The sequence below is a fragment of the Homo sapiens genome, chromosome 15 (genome assembly GCF_000001405.40).
Source record: "Homo sapiens chromosome 15, GRCh38.p14 Primary Assembly".
NCBI lineage: Eukaryota > Metazoa > Chordata > Mammalia > Primates > Hominidae > Homo > Homo sapiens.
This window is the reverse complement of record NC_000015.10, coordinates 53,114,647-53,134,478: the sequence shown is the minus strand read 5'-3', so window position 1 is coordinate 53,134,478 and position 19,832 is coordinate 53,114,647. Positions and strand designations below refer to the sequence as shown.

At 39.2% G+C, this 19,832-nt stretch overlaps 2 long non-coding RNA genes across 6 annotated transcripts in view; both read right to left on the bottom strand.

The window, feature by feature from the left end:
- The window catches only part of LOC107983981 (uncharacterized), a 417,903-nt gene that overhangs the window by 87,176 nt on the left and 310,895 nt on the right, over window positions 1-19,832 (bottom strand). The window lies entirely within an intron of this gene.
- Window positions 4,781-18,114, bottom strand: LINC02490 (long intergenic non-protein coding RNA 2490). The gene is made up of 3 exons (NR_147181.1): window positions 18,021-18,114; window positions 16,214-16,260; window positions 4,781-5,240 (listed from the first exon to the last, which is right to left on the bottom strand). It is a non-coding gene; the product is annotated as a long intergenic non-protein coding RNA 2490 (long non-coding RNA).

Sequence of the window (19,832 nt, the reverse complement as noted above, 5' to 3'; positions counted from 1 at the left end):
GTGAACTAAGCCTCCACCCCTGACTGCAGCTCTTAGAGAGTCTTTCCCTTCTGTATACAATGAGAGCAATAGTATGGAGTTTACAATGGTGTTGAGAAGATGAAAAGAAATAACCTATGAAAGATTCCGCACACAGTATATGCTCACTAAAGCAAGTCTCTCTCTCTCTTTCTCTCTCTCTCTCTGCCCACCCTCTTCCCTCTAAGAATGAAGAGCTAATGCCTTCTGAAGTAGCCATTCTAATTCTGAGCCTCTTTGACTATTCCAGAAATTCCATTTTCTTTCTGAACCAAAATCTGTCTCCCAGGGTCCCACTCAGGAGTCTCTGCACAGCTCTTTGTAGCTGTAAGAATAAGGGTGACCTTTCTTCCTCCAGCTCAGCCTGCCAGCAGTCTTTGGACAATTCACACAGCCCCTTGAGTCTTTTTCTTCTCCAGGAGGATCACCCTCCCAACCTTGCCTCTACCTGCCCCTTTGAGCCCATGATGTCATGGCAATGTTAGTCTCCTTCCACCTAGCATATTCCAGTAATTTCTGCCAGAACACCAGTCCCATTTAAAAGTCCCAGGAAAACATGAACAACTAAGATCAACAATTTTCTCTGATCCAAAATGGCTGAAAAATAAGTCCTTTCCACTGCTTTACTGACAAATCGAACCCTACAAGGGAGAGGAAGGACTGCAAGAAATGGTAATGCCAAGTGAATGAGGATTTTTTTAAAGAGTCTTGAATCCTAAGGGCTTGTCTTGTTCTTTTAACTAGAAAGTTTGAGTCTTGATCCATTAATCCAGAGCTAATAAATGTCTGGTGGCAATTTGCCAGTTTGAACTCACAAGTGCGAGCTTATTCATTATGAGGAAGTAGCGATCTCTGTGGGGAAATGCTTGCAAACAGGATTAGCGAAGCAAAGGGAGGGCAAAGCCTTTGGTGAAAAATGTGCCCATTGCTAATCAATGGCCAACAGCTTCTTGCTGCAACGAGTTGCAAAAAGCAATCGTAGCTCAGTGATTTTTTGTGTGTGTTCATTTGCCAAAGCAAGAAGTGAACTTTGTGGACTGGCTGAGTCAGGATTTCCAAAACTCTTTCATGGGAGTGTTCCTGACACCAATAGCCAGTAAGCTTGAGTCTCTGGAGGTTCAGAAACAAAATTTAAAAGCTCAAAATGTAGTCAAAGCCTCCTGTTTATTCTTTAATATTCATGTAAATTTAGCATCTTATTCCACAATATCCATTTGCTTTCATATAAAAAGCATAGGTTTCCCCCTATTTCCATGCAATTCCTTGAGCCCCAGCCCACAGACCAGTTCCCTCCAGAGCTTCATGTGCTCCACTTTGAGAGAAAGGGACTGGCTTCACTCTAAGTGGTGTCTCAATGATCACATCAGTGGTGGTTTCTTACTCAGATCTATAGGCTTATTGATTCCAGAAGGAATTACACCAGCAGGTACTGCACTGTAAAGTCTCAGTATCAAAGACAGACAGTTTGGATCCTGGATTACATTCATGTATCTTGGGACCTGAGGCTGTTTAATTTCTCCAAGGCTCAGTTTCCTCATCTGCATGGAGCTATCTACTTCATAGGCTGTGATGAGGATTAGGTCAGGTCAGGTGTGTAAAGTGATCAGCACCATAGGTGCAACATAAATGTTTCTTATCATTATACTGGTGGTATTGCCAGACACCTGGAAGGTTCCTGCCTTTGTGTGGTAAAGAGAATCATGGAAATGGAGTCTGAAGTCCTGTGTCTTCATTCTTGATTCTGCCATTAGTTAGCAATATAGTCTGAAATGAATGCTTTTAAGCTAAAATCTACCTTCTTCTTCTTCTAAAATACACAGTTTTCCAATGGTTAACTATTTAAGGGACTTTAGTGCATAGAAGAAACAAGGAAACAGTATGAATAAACCTACAGTCTGAGCTTTTTCTCCCTCTACAGCAACATAGAACAATAATAATAAATGACATTATTGAGCCCACCACACGCCAGGCATTAGCTACATGCTTTACCTGCAATCCTCTGTCTAACTCTCATAAACTATATAGTAAGAGAATAAGAAACTTGCCCAGATTGATAAAGCTGAGAGTTGAACCAAGTCTGACTAACTCCAGGACCTGAGCACTTAACCATTATGCCCTGCTAACCTACCCTCCAAATGAGCCAAAGACCTGCCTATCTACTAATTCAGAGGGAAAGGAACCTATTTGGGAATTCTCTCTAGAGGCCCTTTAAGATTCCTGGCTGCTCCTAGCTACAGTTGACCAAGCACAGGCTGAGGCTGATTGCAGATTTAGTAACTAGTGATGTCAGAGAAGGGGTAGCACTGAAGTTCTAGGCCCACCCTTCCTTCTGAGGGGCCAACAGGTCTAAGATGCTGTGGGGTTAGAGTTACAATGACTAGGATTTGAATTCCAGCTTAACTGACAATCAGCTCTATGATCCTCTGCAAGTTACTTAATCTCTCTGAGAGGACACATAAAGTTTTATCATAAATAAAATAAAATTATAATCTCTACATTGCAAAGATTGCTGGGAAGAATAACAGAGATTGTATAAAGTGTCTAACAGAGAATGTGGCTAATAATTAGAGCTATTATAATTCATTATCATTTTTATAAAGGCAAAAATCTTTCAAAAAGGAAACCAAAATACATTTTCAGAAGTCACATTATATAAAATGTAAAATCTCAAATACCCTGTTATGTCTCTCTAGAACATTAAGCAAATACGAGCAATTGTCAAATAATTCACAAGTGATCTCTCTCTAAAAGATTTTACCTCTTTCTAAACAAAAGCTTCCTTGAAGTGGCTAAATTCTGACAGAGAGCAGAAATCTATGTGAGTTAGCAGACCAATCTCCTGGGAGCATTAAAATGATTCTTGAATAATTTTCAAGCCTAATTCTATTTGCACTTTCCACTTTTCTAAAACCAAATCAAAATTCATTGGCAAACAAAGAGCATCTTGCGAGGATCTCATGATTTCTCATGTGAAATTTCATCATGCATAGCAAGCAGCAAAGGAAGGTGGGTTTAAAAGACACATGTTCAAATTCCTGATGATTTGTCTGTTCCTGCTGAGAAAGATGGACCAAGGAGAGTCAATCATCAGGCCTCATGGATTTGAGCCCATAAGCTCCTAATTGACCGGCATGTATTTAATCGGGAAGAATCGCTATAGAATTCCTGAAGACAAAAGGAAGGGGGTATGAACCCCACTTGGAGTACAGGACAATGTGCTGGTTCCTGCTCCCTCAGGGGGCAGTATTCATGGCTGAATCCTGAAAGTCAGGAAGAAGGACTAATTCAAGGACAACCCCATGGGGTTCCTAGTCTGTGCTCTCCTCCTCCCATGCAGCCTGACAGTGTTGCACCATAGTTTCCTGGCAGAGCCAGAAGAGTGGGGAAGAAGTTGGGAGGGAGGTGGAGGTGGCACTCAGGTGGCTATACTGATCCTGACAGCAGCTACCATGCCTAGTGGTCCTACCTGATTGAAGCTTTGGGTATCCCATGCTAGAGAAGGCCTCTACTGTTATTAGTCAATTAGCCAATTTAACCAAAACAAGGACTAGACTGGTACTTCTCAAGGACTTGTATCCACTTACCAATACACATTGCTCCTAGAAAGCTGATGTAGAAGGTGCTATAGGTATACAGAAATTAAGAGCTCAGACTCCAGAGCCAGGCCACTTCTCTGCTGGGCCACCTAAGACAAGTTACTTAACCATTCTGCCTTACTTTCTCCATCATGAAAGGTGGAACAAACAATCATAGTATCCATCTCATGGGGTTGTGATGACAACTAAGTGAGTGACTACATGTAAGGTAGACCAATGCCTCACACATAGTAAGTGCTCAATACACATTATTATTCTAAACCACGCACCCGTTTGTCATATAGTTACACAGCTTGCTTAGAGCTCCCTAATTGCTTTCAGGTTCTCATTCAAATTTCATGACAACCCAGAGAGGCCTGGCAGGAACCATTATCCCCACTTTACAGATGGAAAACCTATGGCTCAAAGAACTTATATGATTTATCCAAGGCCAAGATTATGAACCTCATAATTATAAGAGGGGGCAACTGAAACCAGGGGTTTGGGTTTCAAGTTTACATATAACACAGCTTACGTAGAATTTTGGCTAAAATGTTTAATTAAATTGAAACAAATACTTCCATTTTAACCCTGCATCCCCCTATGTATCCAGCTGGAGATCATTCACCCGACGTGTAGGCTCACAGGGCAGCACGGGGTTTTTAGCACTCAGCTGATCAGGGCACCTTGTCAGGTAGCAGGCCATTCCCAGGAGCCAGATCCTGTTCCTTTCCCATTTGCTGTCTTGAGTTTGAGGCACTCCACAGTCACGTGGAATAGGACCAAAGCCAGCAGGCAAAAGACAGCTTTGGGGAAACTAGAGTTAGCATCTTGAAAACATACGACCATTCTGGCCAGAATCGCCACACAGAGACTCCACAGAAGTTTCCTGAGTTTCCACGTGTCATGACAAGCAGCTCTGTAATAAGCTCTCTCTGGTGAATAAAAGTTTATCTGCACCACCAATTATATTTCACATGCCCAAAAAGCAGACTAATCACAAATTTTAAAGCAGCCAATGATAGGATCATCTCAGAGCTGAAGAACCACTTATGTACTCTCAGTCAGTTGGGGAATGTTACCCCTGCAGGTTTGGATTGCTCAGATTTGCAAAGAGAACAGGTGAAAAGAGAACCGGTGACAGCTGGCCGGTGATTATTCACAGAAACTCCTGATTCAGACAAGAGTAAGTCACATGAAAGGGAAGGATAGAAAAGGAGACGCCGAAAAAGCATTTGGCCCTTGAATTCTCTGACGAGGAGCAGATGGATGTAATCAATTACTTTAATAATTCACAAGGGAGAAAGCCTGCTTTCACCTGAATTATCTAGATAATTTTTAAAGATATAGTTTGGGTGAGGATTTCCTTTTAATCCACACAAACTGCTTATATTTCCCCAGCTCATCAAATAATTTACTTCCACGTGAGCAGGCCAGGCTTACAGAGCTACGATTGCCATAGACGTAACTGCTCCTGGTGATGTCTTTTCTCTTACATTTGTACTTCAGGGAAGAATTGGTTTCAAGCCGAGTCTTTTTTCCTCCTTTGTGTCCTGGTAAGCTTTTCCTCTGGAAATAAACTGGGCTGGCTGTCCCTTTGATCCCATTGTGCGATTCTATCTCGTTCATCAAGCTGTGGCACCTGACCTGTTACAAGGGTATAGAAAATAGTACAATTTGAGCATTTCAAAGTGCAGGTTTTCTATTTTAAAAAGGGATATCTGACAGCCACCTTTAGATCCACTTGCTTATCAGGGTTGCGTTTTAACAAATTTTCGTGAAAGCATACCATTTATTCTCCAAAATTGGAAAAAAAATGAACAATGGTGAGTTCATATCCTGTTGAATATGGCTTGAAACATCAAAATCTCCAGCAAAGACTGATAGAAAGAAAGTATCATCATATCAGTGGCATCAGAAAATGGCCCAGGCCTGAGCTTCTGCGGTCTGCAATAAAGATAACCACCGCAGCTGGGGTGAGAGCTCAGGGTTGTTTTCCAACACCGGGGGAACATAGCTTCTTCCCTGACCTATCCGTTGTGTGGGCTGATTAGAAGCAACACAAACAGAAACCTCTTGATTCCATCTTCATCAGGAGCTTTTACTGATTACAGGAAATGGCTGTTAACTGGGTGAATGCATAACATATCTGGAGACAGAGGGCCTAAGATGATTCAGAACCCCTCCCCTCAAACTCTCTCCGTGGCATGAGTGCCTTCTCTCCACATGAGACTCCAATCACCTACCCTTATCATTTCATTAGAAAGAGACAGCCTCGTAATTTGGGGCAACATAAATTATCAAACATCAAATATGGTAATATATTGTAATAAATATGATTAAATGATAACACCAAAGCACAATCAACAAAGCCAGATGTTTCTCCCCTCTTGCTTTGGAATGAGATAAAATTCCACTCCTAGCTAAATATTTGTCTATTTCTAATCAAACATAATTTTAACCGTACCGATGCTACTCATTTAAGAACACTCTAATACTTTTCCTTCATCATTTTTGTTTAATGTTTTTGAACCCACCCTAGTAGAGTCTAACCCTGAGAACAGTCGTTTTAGATGACATTGCTGTGGCTGTTCAAACTTGCACAAAGCACTTGGTGAGCAGTCCAGGCCTTTGCTATCCTGAGAATTCACGCTGCAACTCACTGTTGACTGTCACACTTTTGCTTCCATTTGCTTGTGCTTCTCATTATAAGTCAACATGTTTTCATTCGGTTTGTAGAGTGCCCCTTTTTAGCCTCTAGCTGCTGGATGACACCATCTGTGATTGCCAAGGAAATTAAATTAAATTAAGTTAAAATTCAATCAACAGAAGATTGTTGCCTCTATGACTTTACTAGGAACCTTGAGAGCATAAGTGTCTAAATTCCTTTCTCTTAATACAGAAGCAGACCAGCTCTGCTATACCAACATTGGCCCATGGATTAAAACTCCCTTGGAGCCAGGGGCCAGTCACTTAGCCTTTCTGTCCCACCTCAGATGGCCTGCAGCCAACGAGAGACAAATTTCTTTGCTTCTGTAGCCTTTGCTTGGCTTAGGGAAATCTTTGTTTCTTACCAAAAGAAGAAGAACATCTTTAGACTTATGCAAAAAGAAAAGATGATTAATTGGCACAATATTATGTATACTACACCCAAATAAATTCTAGATGGATTAAAGGCTTTTATTTTACAAATAAAAATAAGCCATAAAATTGATCTTTTTTATAAAATAAAGTAATACATTGATTTTAGGAATTTATAAGCATTAAAAACACCAAGAACAGTATTGATGAGTTGAACATAATAAATTTGAAAAAGTCAAATCAAAATAATACCATCAACAAGACGCAAATGCAAATAAAAAACTACAGGGAAATGTTTGTAATATGTATGACAGGCAATATACCTTAAACGGACATATACACACAAACACTCATATACAAGTGTATATAATATATAAACTTTTATATGAAAATAAGTAAAAACATCTCATTTATGGTCATAGGGCATAATAGAAATAAATAAATTAAAGAAATACAAAAGACCAAAAATCCTTTCACATTCACCTATTTAAAACAAAAAACAACACGGGTACACACATACACCTTCCAAAAATAATGTTCAACTATTTTTTAATGTAGCAAACTAACAAAGATTCAAAACCATGATTGTTAATCTCATGATAATGAAGTAAAGTACGAACTCGCATACATTGCTAGCAAACTGTAACATGCTACCATCTTCCCAGAAGTTACTTTGGCCTCACGTAGGGAACTTTAATGTATTTGAGGAGAAATTTATCCCAAATAAATAACCACAGATATTCATAGCAATTTTTGAGAAAGAATTCTCATTGCAGCTTCATTTATAACATCAAAATATTATAATAATGTAAATGTCAATCTGGTTACAAAAATCATATGACAACCATAAAATGAAATATCATGTACTTTCTAGAAATATGTAATTATGTGAGGAAATGTTTACCACACAATGCCATTAAAACAGGGTGAAAAATTATGTATGTATACACATATTTATATTTATATGTGTATATATTTATACAGATTTTATTTAATAGTATATAAAATATTTCAACATTATACATCATTTATAATAATATATGCATAAATACATATGCGATCACAAAAAAAGATTAAGAAAAGAAAAAAATGACAAAATGTGAACAGTAATTATTACTGAGAGTTGGGAAGAGTTGTCATTTTAATAGTCCTTATGTTTCTGTGTTTTTCAAAAATGTCTAAAATAAGACAGAATTCTTTATAATTTAATAAGTAATAAATGTTATTTAAAAATAATAACTTTCTTTTACTGTCCTCCCAAATGGCAGAGGTCTTAATCTCTCTTGCTGTATAGTGAGGTATATTTCATTACTGTTTCCCATAACCACGTTATAATTATCTTCTTAACCAGTTCATAACAGGAAGTGCAAAGACTCGCAGTAAGGCAAAATACCAGTAAAAATTTCCCAAGGGAAAGAACTAAGTGGTGGAGCCAGGAAATGTGGTTTGCATTATCATATGTGGCTTCAAGTTTTGCCTCCCCATCCTCAGTTCTCCTCCGGGCCTGCCCCCAACCCCTGCCAGCACTTCATCTAAGCAAATGTGCTCAAATTTGGAAAGGGGGTATTGCCATCCCACAACCTGCTCATACTTAATAACTTGAACTTTCACTGCCCCAAACCCAAGGCACTCATGGGTGTACCCCAAACATAACATTCGGACAGGCATGTGTTCAGAAAGGCCAAGAAGAGTTAATTATTTTAAATTCTAGAACCGCGCCCCCAAAACCAAAAAAAAAAAAAAAACCAGAGGTATCATATAAGGGACCATTTGTTCAGGATTTAAGATGTGCCGTCACTCTGCTAAGTGCTTCACACATATTATCTTGTTTATATTCTTAAACCAACCCTGCAAAGTAGGCATAAATATCACCACTTTAAAGATAAGACAGTTGAGGCCAAAGGAAGATAAGTAATCTGATTTACTTAGGTAAGTTTTCCATAGTCAAAAATCTAAATTTAACTCAACGCCAGTGCCTATACTCTAAAACCACTGCACCATATTATCTCCAAATAAGATGGGAAATCATGCTTTTAAAACCAACCTGGATACAAGCCCTGCCGTTGGATTTTGATATTTAGAAAGGAGATTCATTTATGTTTCATCATTTTCTCCTCTCTTTTTCAGTAGATTGTTACTTGTTAGGATTTACGGCTTCATTCTCCAAACCTCCCATCAACTCTTAACCAAAACTTAGTATCAGAAACCTACATATTAGATACCTAAAAGAAACTGAAAACCATATAATTTAGGTGGATGAATTGTGTTATTCATATTTCACAGATGCATTCACTAAGTCTCAAAACATTTCAGGGAACCTCCTTAATTTACATAGCTAACAAGTAACAGAGAAGAGCCTGGAACCCAGGCATCCTGCCCTTCCTTGTTCCTGAGACCCATCAGTACAGGCAACATTTAAAGTTTTCACTCCAAACAAGAAAGTTCTTGTTCCATAGCTGGTGATCCTTAAACCATTTATATATAACTTGCCTTCTGTATGAATAAAACTAGCTATTTTAGAAAGCTAATATTCTTTCTGCATTTTTTTCCATGACTTTCCCTCCATGATAATAGCTCTGTACCAGGCACTGTTGTGAGTTATTTATGCAACTTGATTTGTTTAATCCTCTTAAAAACTCTAGGAGGCAAAGTACTGTTATTATACGTATTTCACAGATGAGGAAACTGAAGCCCAGGGATTAAATAACCTGCAAAGTTGGCAGAATTGGGATTTGAACCCAAGCAGCCTGATGCCAGAGTCCATGTGCCATCCCCTACACTGTGCTGTCTCTCCATACAAACAAAGTGCATGGAAACTGCACCCTGCAACCACCAGAGCTATTATTTTAGTACTATTTACAACATCACTGCTTAAAGATGTGGAAAATTTGGAGTGAGTCCAAGGATACATAATGAAAATTATTAATGTTTGAAAAATGAAACATATGAGGAAAGGTTACAAGAAGTGAAATTTTTTAGCCTTAAAAAGAGAAGTCTGAAGGGGAAGTTAATAACTCTTCAAAAGAATAAAGGATTGTTATGGAGGGGATGGTAATCAGAGTTTATTCCCACTCCACAGAGGATAAAGTAAGAGAAAACCAGCTTAAATTGCAGCAGGAAGACATTAAACCAGCTATAAGGAAGAACTTCCATTAGGTAGCATTCTATCAATTGTGAATTTCAATTTAACCAGCCCTCCTTATTTTTCCAGTTCAAGCATTATTCCTAATGAGGTCAAGAATTCCCTTTTGAATCACGAATGATTAAATTACACTCAGGACAATATTAGTTTCAAATATGTTTTATTTCTCAATTATTTGATAATCAGACACTCATACAAGGCTAATATGAAAATTATCAAATGAGAATATATGATTCCTCAGACTATGTCATTCCCAGAACTATCTGCTTAGGAAGAGTTTACATGACCAACAACTCCAGGTAGATGTGGCATCACTTTCTTGAGCCCTCTGTGAATAGAAGCAGACACCAATTTGTCTGTGCGCTTTTGATGGAGTCCGTCCCAGAAGCAAGGAGGTGAACTGTGTTGACCTCTTGTGGTTCTTTCCGGCTTGATGATTCTATAAGCCCCTACATTTGGTCATTCATCCCAATAAAATTTCATTGCTAAAATCCATGGTTTCTTCACAACTGGGAAGAATAAAGTACAGCAATGGTACAGGTAACAATTGTTGATGGATAAGACAAATCAGGCCCCAAGCTAACGTGCAAAGATCTTAACTGTGTCTTTAGTTCAGAGTTCCTCACTGTGGCCCTTTGAACACTTTGTATTAGAATTATCTCTAGTACTGTACTTGTTAAAAATCAATCAGACTCTTTAAAGAGGGGCCCAAAAAACTGCATTTTAAGCACTCTTCCAACCCATTTTTTTCAAATGTACACTAAGCTTTAAGAACCAATGAGATTTGTGTCTAAGGATTTTATTCCACTACTAAGGAAAGGGATATCTAGAGAAATCAATATTTGTCCATCTGGTTACTAGAAAAAATCAGGAACAGAATCAGATGTCCAGAATTCCCATGCCAATAAATCCCTTATCTACTTGGAAGCATTACAAATAGATTTTTAGAAAATGTCCTGTGGAATATATACTTGGCATCAAAGCAGTAATCAAAGTAGTTTGTTTCTCTGCATAATTACTGTGGAGAAAAATATCAATGACCTATGTGTTAGTCAGCTTACTTGGCACCACAAATAACTGAATCTCACCTACAAGAGAGTCAAACTATAAAGAAATAGATTAGTTCATTCTAGGGGGAGTCTAGAGGTGAGGCAGGCTCCTGGGTCAGTTGATCCAATGACTCAACCCTGCCATTTGAAACCCTATTTTATCATCTCTCCACTTCACCATCCAGATCATTAGGCTAATATGTCACTTCTCTCTCTGAAGGCCAGAATGTCATTCCAAGAAGGCCCCAGAAAGATTTTTTTTCTTTCATTGGCTCAAATAAGTGGAAGTTTATCCATTCCTCAACCAATTACTGGAAATAAGACTAAAAATACTACAAGACTATAGTACAATAAGACTGAAAAATAGTGGGCTGTAATAACCAGCTGGTGTGGAACAGAGGTGGAGAGTCAACCACAATGTGCTTTACAGCCCGACAGGGAAATGGCTAGAGAAGCTCCCATAACCTCCCCAGCCAGAGTCAATCCCCAGAGAAAAGCCACTCAGGGGCCTGGCCTCCACCAGGCACTTTCCCCACCCTTAGTGGACACAGGACTATTTTCCATTTTCAGGGTGTGTTAGCCAATGTTATCTTGGGGCAAGGCCTTCCTGACTCATACACTTAACCCACATTCATGACCATTAACCCAATGCTTTCAGGAGAGAGAGGCATGTCTCCTTCTCTGTGTATAAGAGAGTGCCACACACACTCAAAATATACTTATATGTGCAAAGAAAAATATCATTTCTTTGTTTTCGTGTTTGAACTAATCTTCCTCCCAAGCCCATAACATTTGGGCAGAAGAGTTAAGAGTGGTTCATTTTGGTCCAATCTAGTAAACTCAGAAGGGCCATTGTAAACAAAATTGCTATAGGCGATTCAGTCATCTTATTTGGTTTAAAGACTCAGTATTTCAGATTTCCTCCTACTTCAAAATGGTGTTTGGGTATAGAGGAAGCCTTAACCATAGAGAAGAGACAGGAGGTTTAGGTCTACACAGCATCATCCCATTGCCAATCATAAGTGTTCCTCACTGAAGGGGGCCCCTTCAGAACATGCTGACTTCTCCACTCTGCCTCTGACCCACTCATTCTCCCTACATTTCCCTAGATCCAGGAGCAGTGGGCTTTCTCTCCACTCTTCCAGTTAGGATAGAACATCCCTATGTCCTACCCTCCTCCATTCATAGGTTGCATTTAAATTACATACTCCTGCCCCAACCATAATGGTGATGTAGTGTATGGATGAAGGCATCTGATAAAAGAGCATTAAAAGGAGCTATTTCAAAAGTATTATACCTAGTACACATGATAACGTGCAAAATACTCAGGGTATCCTTCAAAGCCACTGGATAAACCTATTCCACTAACACATGAGGATATAGGGAGGAAAGAGTAGGACCAAATGTAGTTAACTATAAAAACATAAACAAAACCCATCATCCCTGTGAAATATCAAAGCTGGAAAGATTTGTCTGTCCCCTTAGAGACTAAGGTTTAAGTGCAAAAGGATAAAGTATCCATGAAATTAAAAAAAGAGACAAGTTTCCAGTAATCCTGACTGTGTCTAGACAGGCAACATCTAAAAGCCATATTGGCCAGAATCGTTTTTGCCATCAATCTCCATGGTGATGGGGCACAGAAGTATCAGTGACACCAGTGCCATTAACACATAAGCTACAGAAAAGACATGAGTCAGTCCAGAGCCCTGGCAAAAGAGATCTTTCTAACTGTAGAGAAGACTTCAGTGTCATCATAGTTCATCTACTTAGCTAATACTTTTTTCAGAAAAATTACAAATTAAAACCAAACATAAAGTGTTTGATGAAATGTCATTCAGTGGTGTTGAATATTAATTCATATTTGAGTCTATTGTTGACCTTCAAAAAAAGAATATTGTTCTCTTTTTTTCCCTAGTATAATTACATGCTTATATTTGAACTAAACCCACATCCTGTGCTTCTCCTACAAAGCATAGGCATGTACCATGCTACAAGGAAAACCATGTATTTTAAAAGTCATTGTATTTGTTAAGGAAAGAACCAGTGACCTTCTTATAACTCAGATTGAAAAAAATATAAAATTCAGTTTGTGTTTTAAACATTGTAAATATTTTTATATCAGGCCAGCCTCCATGCTAGAAGTAAATGCTAATTAGCCAGTCAATGCCAATCAAAAAATGCATTAAAATTGGGGAAAAAGATAAGGTTAGAGCAGGTAGAAAGAGAAATGACTAGCTAGACTATGTTGACACTGCCAGTGCATGCCAATAGAAAAATATGTGTAATGTTTTCCTTATTAGCAATAAAGAAGATCCAAGATTTCCTCTATTTTTTCTGTTTCTGATTTAAAACAGATGACTCCATAACTCAGAGGCTGTTTTGGAAGTCCACGTTGAAGAAAGAGATCTTCAGTTAAGGAGGCTATCTTAGTAACAAGAGGTTCATACAGAGAAATTCAGTCTGCCAAGAGGAGGTGACATCTAAGCCAGAATTTGAAGAATAAATGAGAATTCATCTAGGCAGAAAAGACAGAAGGCAATGGTGAGGAAAGCATTCCAAGAAGAGTGAATGGCATGTGCAAGGCAGAGACGTGGGCCACTTCTTGGCCTATTCAAATCATCTCATCACACTGCTGGTGTAAAGAAGGGGATGTGGGAGCCTTAAAAATAGGAGTGGGCTCCCAAGTGTCAGGTACTGCAGAGAAGCTGACATAAGACAAACACAGACTATTCCCACAGTGATCTTAGCGAGAACGGTGTCAGTGGCTGAGGCTAGGTTGCAGTGGGGTTTAGTAAACAGGATGTTAAAAGAATGGGCTATGATAGGGAAAAGAGAGATTGTCTAAATACTTGAAAGCATTGTAGAATACAAGGAAGGTTTTGTTCTGGTTTTGCTAGAATGGAGGAACTTGATCACATGTTAAGCTAAGGGAAGGAAGAGAGGAAGCTGAAAACACAGTAGAAAAAGTAGATCGTTGATACAGCAAGGCTCCAGGTGACTCAGGAAGAACAGAGCAGGGAGGGTAATGCCTCCTATGGGTCCAGAGAATGATACAGATGTAAATAAGTTTGTAGACAAGGAGACAAGAAATTAAGAAGTTCCTGATTAATAATCTGTAATTTCTAATAAGTAGAAACTAAGGATATTTATTTATAAGTAAACACCACTGTGTTCTGTACATGCTTTAAAGTAGCTAAATGGGATGATCCATCCACCAAGAGAAATTAGGATGGGCATCACAGAGAAGACAAAGCTGTTAAAGGAAATAGAAGCACTCACCAGAAAGGAAGGAAGATAAGTGGTAAGGGATCTTGAGGCCCAAAGGATATTAGAAGTTATGAACTTGTACTGACACAAATATGCAGTTTGTGACTTTCTCCAACAGTATTCAACAGACTGTGCCACTAGAAGTGTGTAGGAGATGCATGCCAAAAACATAAGCAGTAGAGAGATATGATGGTATTGGTGAGAGAGAAGTTATGACGAACAGTAGCAATTTTAGGCTGGTGCAGAAAGAAGTCAGAAAACTGAGTAATCGAGAAGCATGAGAGGCAGGCACTGTTGGGGTGACAGAGAAGGCAGTACACATGGGAGGCGCCATCCTAGAAAAGGGCTGTGGGGCTTGAGATTTCAGGTATGGAACAGTCCCATGATGGCAACATGTTGCTGTAGATAAGAATCATTGATGTGGATTAGAGATGAAGGCCATTGGCACTGAGATCAAGGAATTGGAAATAGGGTGCTAAATATATTGTCTACGTGATATAAGAAATCACTCAGGTGATGATGGAAGTTGGAGAGGAGAAAAGTCCCCATGTCACTCACATGGGACAGATCAGAGGGGAAGGAGTTAATGGCAACAGGGCGTGCAGAGGAATATAAAAAGCTTGGTGTGATCTTCAAAGCAGGGAGAATATTTTGGGAATGAAGAGAAATAGTATCAAAGAAGCTGTAGAAAGTGAGAAAAGACACAGAGGGGGAGAAGTCTATACTTATTTATAGACTTTACTATTTAGATACTTTATTTTATTTATAAAATACTTTATTTATATACTTTATTTATCTACTTTACTATTTAGAGGGATACAGATAAGTGACATCTTCAGATGAGACATAGATCATATCTTCTGACCTATGAAAGATAGGTGATGGTTAGGGCCAGAATGGGGAAGGAGTGCTGCAAGAAGAGGCTGAGGTGCCAGAAACACTGTGTAAAAAATAGACAGGAGGATCTCCATTTGGAAAATGGGTGGACACCCAGGAGAAATATAAAGGCAAAAAATTGAATGAAGATTGACAGAATCAGCACGTCTGTGGTGTCCAAGACCTTGGATTCAATTGAATTAACTGGACTCAATTTTCCATTGCCTGGGTAATGCTGCTAGGGTCTTGAAAAGGCCAAGGACCAGAGGAGTATGGGGCCCACTCCTGCAGCTACTCCCTACTTTAGCCCTGTGTGGAAACTGCCCAAGTGCTCATGGTAATATCTAGCCCAGTGGCCTGGGCATCTCAACTGCCACGTCCAATTTTATTAAGGTTAGCTGTTGCTAGTAGGAATCATGCAAGTTCTTTTTCTTATTTAACTCTGGCATGTTGGTAAATTTTCTGCTGAGTTGTAGTGTCTTTCCCAGCTTTAGTGTAGACTCTATAAAACTGTGATTGGTTTTACTGACCAATTTAGTTAGGTTACAACCTGGCTAGTAGTTCTGTTTTGTAACCCAGGAAGGAAATAAATTTTAGATGCCAATTTTCCCTTTTCCACTGTCTGCTCATGGTCATGTGACCCAGATAAATTGGGCCACTAATATTCACAGCTCATGTGTGATGGCATCTAGGTTTTTGGTTTACAATTAAACAGAGTTATTAGAACTGGCACTAAAAATATTTATCATCTTAAGTTCCTTGCCTGTACTGTTGTAAGTTTTAACTATTCTTTCTACTTGTGAACTAAATGTTTTCTATGGGTTTCCCTTCATTGCTTTATGGTTAACCATCTCAATTACAATAAGACCAGATATTTATAGACTTCCTTGTTCTCTTCACGAATTTGATCTTTAATTCTTTAAACCTATCTGTCACAACTATCACAGTAACCCAGAGAATATGTAAACTCACCCACTCTGTAAAATGCCTAGACAAAAATTTCCACCATAATTTTATTTATTCACATCTATTTTTCCTAGCACATAGTCTACCATTTATACATTTTGAAAAAATAAATCAAAAGAAAGCTTTGTCTTTCACATTTCCCACATATACAGCTTTAATGGGTTCTTCTGTCTGTTATTTGAAACTATAATCATTGCTGTCAAAAGAGACAAGTCTATATACATAAAACTTGTACTTACTATGGTAGATGAAGAGTTAAATCAAAGGGCCAGCTAGCGATCTAGTCCTGGGTAGGAAGAGAGGAGAGAAGCAGGACATCATGAGGTCTCTCTACACTCCTAAGCTCTGCTCACTTTATGTTCACTTACAGTGCTAACACCTAGAAAGCCCCAGGGAAACCAGGAGGAATTGGTCACCCTACTACAAGAGACCCTCTCCACTGTTCTCAATCTCTGCCTCCTCTTGATTTTGTCTGGACAAGAAGCTACTAGGTGTGTTTACCCTCAACCTAATTTCCCAGGTTCCCAAATCTGAAATTTTAAGGAAAGAAATATATCTTAAACATATATAACACATCTCAGTTTCTTAGGAATTACTACTATGTTCTTCACAGAATAGAATCAGCTTCATTTAAAGAACGATTTCTCAACCCTGACACTCGATATTTAGAATTGGATCATTTTTGTTGTGGGGAGGTGTCTTGTACATTGCAGAATGTTTAGCACCATCACTGGCCTCAACCCAGTATCCTCTACAGGGGGGAGCCAGTAGCATCCCCCCTCCCCCATTGTAATAACCACAAATATCTCCAAATATTGCCAAATGTCCTCTGGGAGGCAAAATCATCCCAGTTGAAAAAATCGCTGATTTAAAAGACTATCCTCCCCACCGTACCTTCACCCCAAGAAGGACTGCTAGGAAAGAAGGAAAGAAAGAAAGAAAGAAAGAAAGAAAGAAAGAAAGAAAGAAAGAAAGAAAGAAAGAAAGAAAGAAAGAAAGAAGGAAGGAAGGAAGGAAGGAAGGAAGGAAGGAAGGAAGGAAGGGAAGGAAGGAAGGAAAGGAAGGAAGGAAGGAAGGAAGGAAGGAAGGAAGGAAGGAAGGAAGGAAGGAAGGAAGGAAGGAAGGAAGGAAGGAAAGGAAGGAAGGAAGGAAGGAAGGAAGGAAGGAAGGAAGAAAGAAAGAAAGAAAGAAAGAAAGAAAGAAAGAAAGAAAGAAAGCAGGCAGGCAGGCAGGCAGGCAGGCAAGAAAGAGAAAGAAAGAAATAAATAAAGAAAGAAAGAAAGAGAGAGAGAGAGAAAGAAAGGAAGAGTGAAGGAGAGAAAGACAGAAAGAGAGAAAGGGAGAAAGGGAGGAAGGGAGGGAAAGAAAGAAAGAGAAAGAAAGAAAGAAAAAAAGAAAGAAAGAGAGAGAGAAAGAAAGAAAGAAGGAAAGAAAGAGGAAGGAAGGGAGGGAGAGAAAAAGAAAAAGAGAAAGAAAGAAAGAAAAAAGAAAAGAAAGAAAGAAAAGAAAGAAAGAAAGAAAAAGAAAGGAGGGAGGGAGGGAAGGAAGAAGGGAAGGGAAGAAAGAAAGAGCAAGGAAATGGAGAGGACAAAAAGAAAGTGAGTAAGAAAGGAAGGGAGAAAGAGAGGAAAAAAAGAAAATATGGTAAAGATACTTATATTGTAAAAAAAAAAAAAACACGAAAAAACAAAAGGGGAGATGGTTAGAAAGAAAATTAGATCTTGATTCCAAGAAAAAAATGCATTAATCCACTTTCCTCTAGACCTAATCCTAATTTCAAAGATGAGAAATTTATGGCAAAATTTTTAATCCTGCTTCCTCTAAAAATAGACTTAAGTTGATTAATTTATGTAAATAGAGATTTTGACAGAGAAAATATGAATCAGACTCTGACAGGTGTATAGATCAAAAGTCAGCCAATCCCACTGAAAAATATTTATTCTGAGCAGCTGACAGGCACACTGTTGGGAGAAGACTGGAGGCACAGAGGGCTTTGCTCATCTGAATCAACTGTTTACTATAAAGAAAATAAATTTATTTTCTCACAGCTCTGGGGGCTGGGAAGTCCAAGATCAAGGCACTGGCATCTGGTGAGGGTTTTCTTGCTGCATCCTCACAGGGCAGAAGAGCAGAAGAGAGCAAAGCCACTCCTGCAGGCTGTTTTTATAGCAGCATTAATCCTTTCATGAGGGCAGAGTCCTCATGACCTAGGCATGTCCCATTCTGCCCCAGCCCCCAACACTGTTACATTCAGGATTATGTTTCCAACACATAAATTTAAGGGAACACATTCAGAACATTACACCTGGTAAAATGTTGAAATGGTATACTCTACCAGGCCCCTCTGTGCATATCATTAAATGTTTTTTAAAACCTGTGCTCAAACTTTCTAAGGGCAAATAGTCTAAGTGATGATACAATAGATAAAATAGACCTGTCATTTGTGGCTCCCAATGATTCTGTTAACCTCATTTTGGTAGTTTTACGCATGATTCATTAAGCTTTTCCCAAGAAGAATCTGAAAACCTCCATTTCAAACATCCCTTGCACATGACTAGCTTCAACCAAGCAAATGCACCCTGTGAGTCTTTGGATTAAAAAATTAAAATTGATAAGGCCACAGCCTTTTCTGGCAAGCACTGGTCATAAAAGTGTTGAGTTAATCTGCAGCAGCTGTAGCAGAGGTTCTGGTGTTCAGGTAGTAGTTTTATGAATGTAGAGTGACAGGTGGCAGCAGCTGTGGACTTTCCACTGGAACAGCCTCAGGGAGTAACTGAGCATTCTTCCTCGCTGCTCACTTCTGCTGTCTGGCATTCATGTTTGGTTCTCTCACCTGTCCCTAGAAATCTGTAAGTTCCTAATACCCTGTAATAAATATCTTTCTGCTTAATCAAACTTGAATGGGCTCTGTGGACTGCAATTGAACCCTGGCTGATAGGAAGGGGTGAAAAGAAAGCCTCTTGCACATCAGCAAAGGAAGTTGCTCTAGCAGGGTTGAGCTGGACAAGAGATACAGAGAAAAAGAAAATGTATTGGTGATGGCCAACGGAGTCCCAAGCAGGTGGTTTATGAGTGAAAATAGAGAAAAACATTTCCAGTGAAACGGATACAAGGGGAGCTGGCAGGATCTCATTTTTCCCTCGCCTCTTCCCAAAGCACTTATTTTGCCATTTTCACGTTCACTGGTTATTTGTGTCTGTCCCTCCCCCAGACTCTGAGCTCCTGAAGAGTAGAAACTAAGCTTTTCTTTTTGTCACCCATGTCAGTATCTGAACATAGGACTTTGGACTTAGTAGATGTTTAGCAGGTGCTCTAGCAATACTTACTGGGTGTGGTGTGATATGGTTGTTTGTTGCATGACGTTCCCAGCTCCTCCTGAAGAGGGATGGAAGTTTCCATTTATAAACAATGGAGTAGACAGAAAAAAGTCTCCCTTGATTCTTTTTACTTCAGAATATGGCCTCAGAAAGTCTGTGTATGGGGTGAGGCTGAGTGGATCCCGCCAGCCAGGAGTCTTATAGACAGCTAGCAGTGGCCCTGGTGGTTCTCCAATTTGTATTTATATCTGTACACGCCTCCTCCATCAAAATATGCCATATGCAACTAAAAGATATTGAATCAAATATTAATGCCCAAGGTGCCCACGCATTTTTGTAATGTCTTCAACCTTCTTTACAAAGGATTTTAATGCACTCTTGTAATTTTACTTCAGCACAATGCAGTCAGCAAATATCAATTTCTCTCTGGGACCATGAAGACTTGTTAACTGCAGTTCTGCTATTCATGCCCTAGTAAGGGAAAGAGCTGCTGTGTCAGACTCTTGGAAATTATCTCAACTCTGTAGACCTTAGCATGAGG